The sequence below is a fragment of the Homo sapiens genome, chromosome 8, assembly GCF_000001405.40.
Source record: "Homo sapiens chromosome 8, GRCh38.p14 Primary Assembly".
NCBI lineage: Eukaryota > Metazoa > Chordata > Mammalia > Primates > Hominidae > Homo > Homo sapiens.
In genome coordinates, this window is record NC_000008.11 from 63,488,765 (window position 1) to 63,493,594 (window position 4,830).

A 4,830-nucleotide genomic window follows, 5' to 3' on the forward strand; every position below is an offset into this window, starting at 1 on the left:
TGGTGAATCTGACAATTATATGTCTTGGAGTTGCTCTTCTCGAGGAGTATCTTTGTGGCGTTCTCTGTATTTCCTGAATCTGAACGTTGGCCTGCCTTGCTAGATTGGGGAAGTTCTCCTGGATAATATCCTGCAGAGTGCTTTCCAACTTGGTTCCATTCTCCCTATCACTTTCAGGTACACCAATCGGACATAGATTTGGTCTTTTCACATAGTCCCATATTTCTTGGAGGCTTTGCTCATTTCTTTTTATTCTTTTTTCTCTAAACTTCCCTTCTCACTTCATTTCATTCATTTAATCTTCCATCACTGATACCCTTTCTTCCAGTTGATCGCATCGGCTCCTGAGGCTTCTGCATTCTTCACGTAGTTCTCGAGCCTTGGTTTTCAGCTCCATCAGCTCCTTTAAGCACTTCTCTGTATTGGTTATTCTAGTTATACATTCTTCTAAATTTTTTTCAAAGTTTTCAACTTCTTTGCCTTTGGTTTGAATGTCCTCCCGTAGCTCAGAGTAATTTGATCGTCTGAAGCCTTCTTCTCTCAGCTCGTCAAAGTCATTCTCCATCCAGCTTTGTTCCGTTGCTGGTGAGGAACTGCGTTCCTTTGGAGGAGGAGAGGCGCTCTGCGTTTTAGAGTTTCCAGTTTTTCTGTTCTGTTTTTTCCCCATCTTTGTGGTTTTATCTACTTTTGGTCTTTGATGATGGTGATGTATAGATGGGTTTTTGGTGTGGATGTCCTTTCTGTTTGTTAGTTTTCCTTCTAACAGACAGGACCCTCAGCTGCAGGTCTGTTGGGTACCCTGCCGTGTGAGGTGTCAGTGTTCCCCTGCTGGGGGGTGCCTCCCAGTTAGGCTGCTCAGGGGTCAGGAGTCAGGGACCCCCTTGAGGAGGCAGTCTGCCCGTTCTCAGATCTCCATCTGCGTGCTGGGAGAACCACTGCTCTCTTCAAAGCTGTCAGACAGGGTCATTTAAGTCTGCAGAGGTTTCTGCTGTCTTTTTGTTTGTCTGTGCCCTGCCCCCAGAGGTGGAGCCTACAGAGGCAGGCAGGCCTCCTTGAGCTGTGGTGGGCTCCGCCCAGTTCGAGCTTCCCCGCTGCTTTGTTTACCTAAGCAAGCCTGGGCAATGGCGGGCGCCCCTCCCCCAGCCTCACTGCCGCCTTGCAGTTTGATCTCAGACTGCTGTGTTAGCAATCAGCGAGACTCCGTGGGCGTAGGACCCTCCAAGCCAGGTGCGGGGTATAATCTCGTGGTGCGCCGTTTTTTAAGCCCGTCGGAAAAGCGCAGTATTCGGGTGGGAGTGACCTGATTTTCCAGGTGCCGTCAGTCACCCCTTTCTTTGACTCGGAAAGGGAACTCCCTGACCCCTTGCGCTTCCCGAGTGAGGCAATGCCTCGCCCTGCTTCGGCTCGTGCACGGTGTGCGCACCCACTGACCTGCGCCCACTGTCTGGCACTCCCTAGTGAGATGAACCCGGTACCTCAGATGGAAATGCAGAAATCACCGTCTTCTGCGTCGCTCACGCTGGGAGCTGTAGACTGGAGCTGTTCCTATTCGGCCATCTTGGCTCCTCCCCCGTTGGTAGGTTTTTTATTACTGCTTAAATTTTGGAACTTATTATTGGTCTGTTCAGGTTTTCACTTTCTTCTTGGTTCAATACTGGGAGGGTGTGTGTTGACAGGAATTTATCCATTTCCTCTATATATCCTAATTTTTATGCATAGAGGTGTTCATAACAGTCTCTGAGGATCTTCTGTATTTCTGTGGGATCAGTTGCAATGTCATCTTTGTCATTTCTGATTGTGTTCATTTGGATCTTTTTTTTTTTTGTTAATCTAGCTAGCAGTCTATCAATCTCGTTTATTCTTTCAAGAAACCAACTCTTGGCTCTTGGTTTCATGAATATTTTTTCTTTTCTTTCTTTTTTTTTTTGAGATGGGGTCTCACTCTCTTGCCCAGGCTAAACTGCAGTGGTGTAATCTCGGCTCACTGCAACCTCTGCCTCCCAGGTTCAAGCAATTCTCCTGCCTCAGCCTTCTGAGTAGCTGAGATTACAGGCACACACTACTGTGCCTAGCTAATTTTATTTGTCTTTTTAGTAGAGACAGGGTTTTGCCATGTTGGCAAGGCTGGTCTTGAACCCCTGACCTCAACTGATCCACCCACCTTGGCCTCCCAAAGTGATGGGATTATAGGTGTGAGCCACTGTGCTTGGCTTATGGATCTTGTGAATGGATTTTTGCATCTCAGTTTCATTCAGTCTTTCCTAATTTTAGTTATTCCTTTTGTTCTGTTAGCTTTGGAGTTGATTTGTTCTTTTTCTCTAGTTCCTCTAGGTATGATGTGAGATTGTTGATTTGAGATCTTTCTAATTTCTTGATGAATGTGTTTAGTACTATAAACTTTCCTCTTAACACTGTTTTAGCTGCATCCCAAAGATTTTGGTAAGTTGTGTCTCTATTTTTATTAATTGCAAAGTTTTTTTTTTAATTTCTGCCTCAATTTCATTGTTCATCAAAGAGTTCCTCAGAAGCAAGTTGTTTAATTTCCAAGTATTTGTGTAGTTTTGAGAGATCTTCTTGGCATTGACTTCTACTTTTATTCATTGTGGTCCAAGAATGTGCTTTGGGTGATTTCAGTTGTTTTGAATTTATTGAGACTTGCTTTATAATTGAGAATGTGGTCAACCTTAGGATATATTCTGTGTGCAGATGAGAAGAATGTATATCCTGTGGTTGTTGGGTGTAGATGTCTATTAGGTCCAGTTGGTCTAGTGTTGAATTTTAGTCCAGAATTTCTTTGTTAATTTTCTGCCTCAATAATCTGTCTAACACTGTCAGTGGGGTGTTGAAGTCTCTCATTATTATTGTGTGACTGTCTAAGTGTTTTCATAGGTCAAGACAAACTTGTTTTTATGAATCAGGGTGCTCCAGTGTTCGATATGTATATATTTAGGATAGTTAAGTCTTCATGTTGAATTGAAATCTTTATCATTATGTAATGTCTTTCTGTGTCCTACTTAATTGTTATTGGTTTAAAGTCTGTTTTATCTATTATAAGAATTGTGACTCCTGCTCTCTTTTGTTGCCTGCTTGCATGGTAGATCTTTCTTCATCTTTCTACTTTGAGCCTGTGAGTATCATTACATGTGGGATAGGTCTCTTAATGATAGCAGACAGTTGGATCTTGTCTTTTTATTCAGCTTTCCCCTCTATTTCTTTTAAGTAAAGGATTTACATTCAGGTTTAGTATTGATATGTGAGTTTTTGATCCTGTCATCATGTTGTTAGCTGGTTGTTTTGTAGACTCAATTGTGTAGTCACTTTATTGTGTTTGTGGGCTATGGAAAACCAAGATCAAGTATCACTTCCTTTTAAAATGACTTTTTGAATCCTTAATCAGTTGAAAGCCACTTTAGAATTGTGCAGTACTTAGTTTTTACCCCTTAGAACCATTATCAAAATTTGCCGTTTCTCCTTCTCTCTTAGTGTCCTGCAATTATTAGTATAATGATGCATTTTTTTTTAAATCAAAGAAAAGATCTGATACAGAAGGCACTGAGACTTAGAGGCTTATACATGTAACTGGGCTTCCAGGGACAAACTCAAAAGTGTAGTTTTAGGTAGGCAATGGTCTAGAGAAACTGCCAGTGCCAAGGAAGTCTAAGAGGTATCCTGATAGGTAGGTGGATTTCCAGGACACTAAATCTGTGCTGGTAATAACAGTGAGCCAAGCAGATGGTCATTATCAAGGGGATTTGTAACAACAGCCCAGTGGCAGAGTTAGAATTTAGGAATAGCAATCATTCTCTCAAAATACAGAAATATTCACAGCCAGACATAAGCCTTAGAGAAATTGCATACAGGCAAGAACTCTAGGGCCTTAATCACTGTACCTAGAGGTAGCCTAATTCCTGGGGAGTAGTTATAGCCACAGCACCAGGTGGGTTGACTTGATCCTCATCTAGACTCTTTGAGCTTTGCCTAAGTAGAAAGAGGGTAAGAGCAGAACCTGGAGTGAGATGGAGCCTGCTGTTAGGAGTTGAGGGGGCAGAGCCTGAACGAGGGCACTGTGGTTGAGGAGTATGCCAGAAAACTGCAGTATTCCTTGAAGGCATGGGCTACGGGTTCACCTCACTGTAAATATTCTTAGACAATGCACATTGTAGATGTTTGATAATTGCAAAAAAAAAAAAAAAAAAAAAAAGAAAAAAAAGAAAAAAAGAAAAAGGTTGCTCTAGATCCTAGACCTTTAATTCTGTACTTACTCCAGAGCTTGTCATTATCTTTTCTAATATGTGGCTCCCCTAAATCAACAACTCTGGTGTATGACAGTGGAAATTTTTACTTTTCTTGATCTAGTGGCTACACTTTATAAATGCCACCTAAGACTTTCTCATAGCATTTTGTGACAGATATGTTCGTTTAATAAACATTAGTACCTAATAAGCTTGTAGCCAACTTGACTTTTAAGATTTTTTATAAGGCCTAATTTCAAATTTGGTTCCCCTATCCTAAACATGAAACTGGTTATTCAACCAAAATATAGGATTTTATGTATATATAAGTTAAATTGTATCTTAAAGGCTTTAGTTTGAGCATTATAGAATATCAGGATAATTATAAAATGAGTTATACATCCCTTCTAGAATTATGCCATGAAAAAGTCACTAAATTTTATTTGTTTTTAACTACTTATTACTTGAATAAACTTATATAAGTTTTTCTATACATGCAAGCCCTTGTGTGTGTGAGTATGTGTTTTTGGTACATTTTTTATGCAAAGAATTTTGATCAGTGTTCTTTATATTTACTTAAACAAGAGATTTAATATAT

At 40.7% G+C, this 4,830-nt stretch overlaps 1 annotated feature.

Moving 5' to 3' along the window:
* Positions 746-1,314: an enhancer, noted in NCBI's record as "NANOG-H3K27ac-H3K4me1 hESC enhancer chr8:64402068-64402636 (GRCh37/hg19 assembly coordinates)". NCBI's record gives its function as "activates a minimal SCP1, AML or CMV promoter by ChIP-STARR-seq in naive H9 embryonic stem cells {active_cell/tissue: H9 hESC(naive)}" and the evidence as "EXISTENCE:reporter gene assay evidence [ECO:0000049][PMID:30033119]".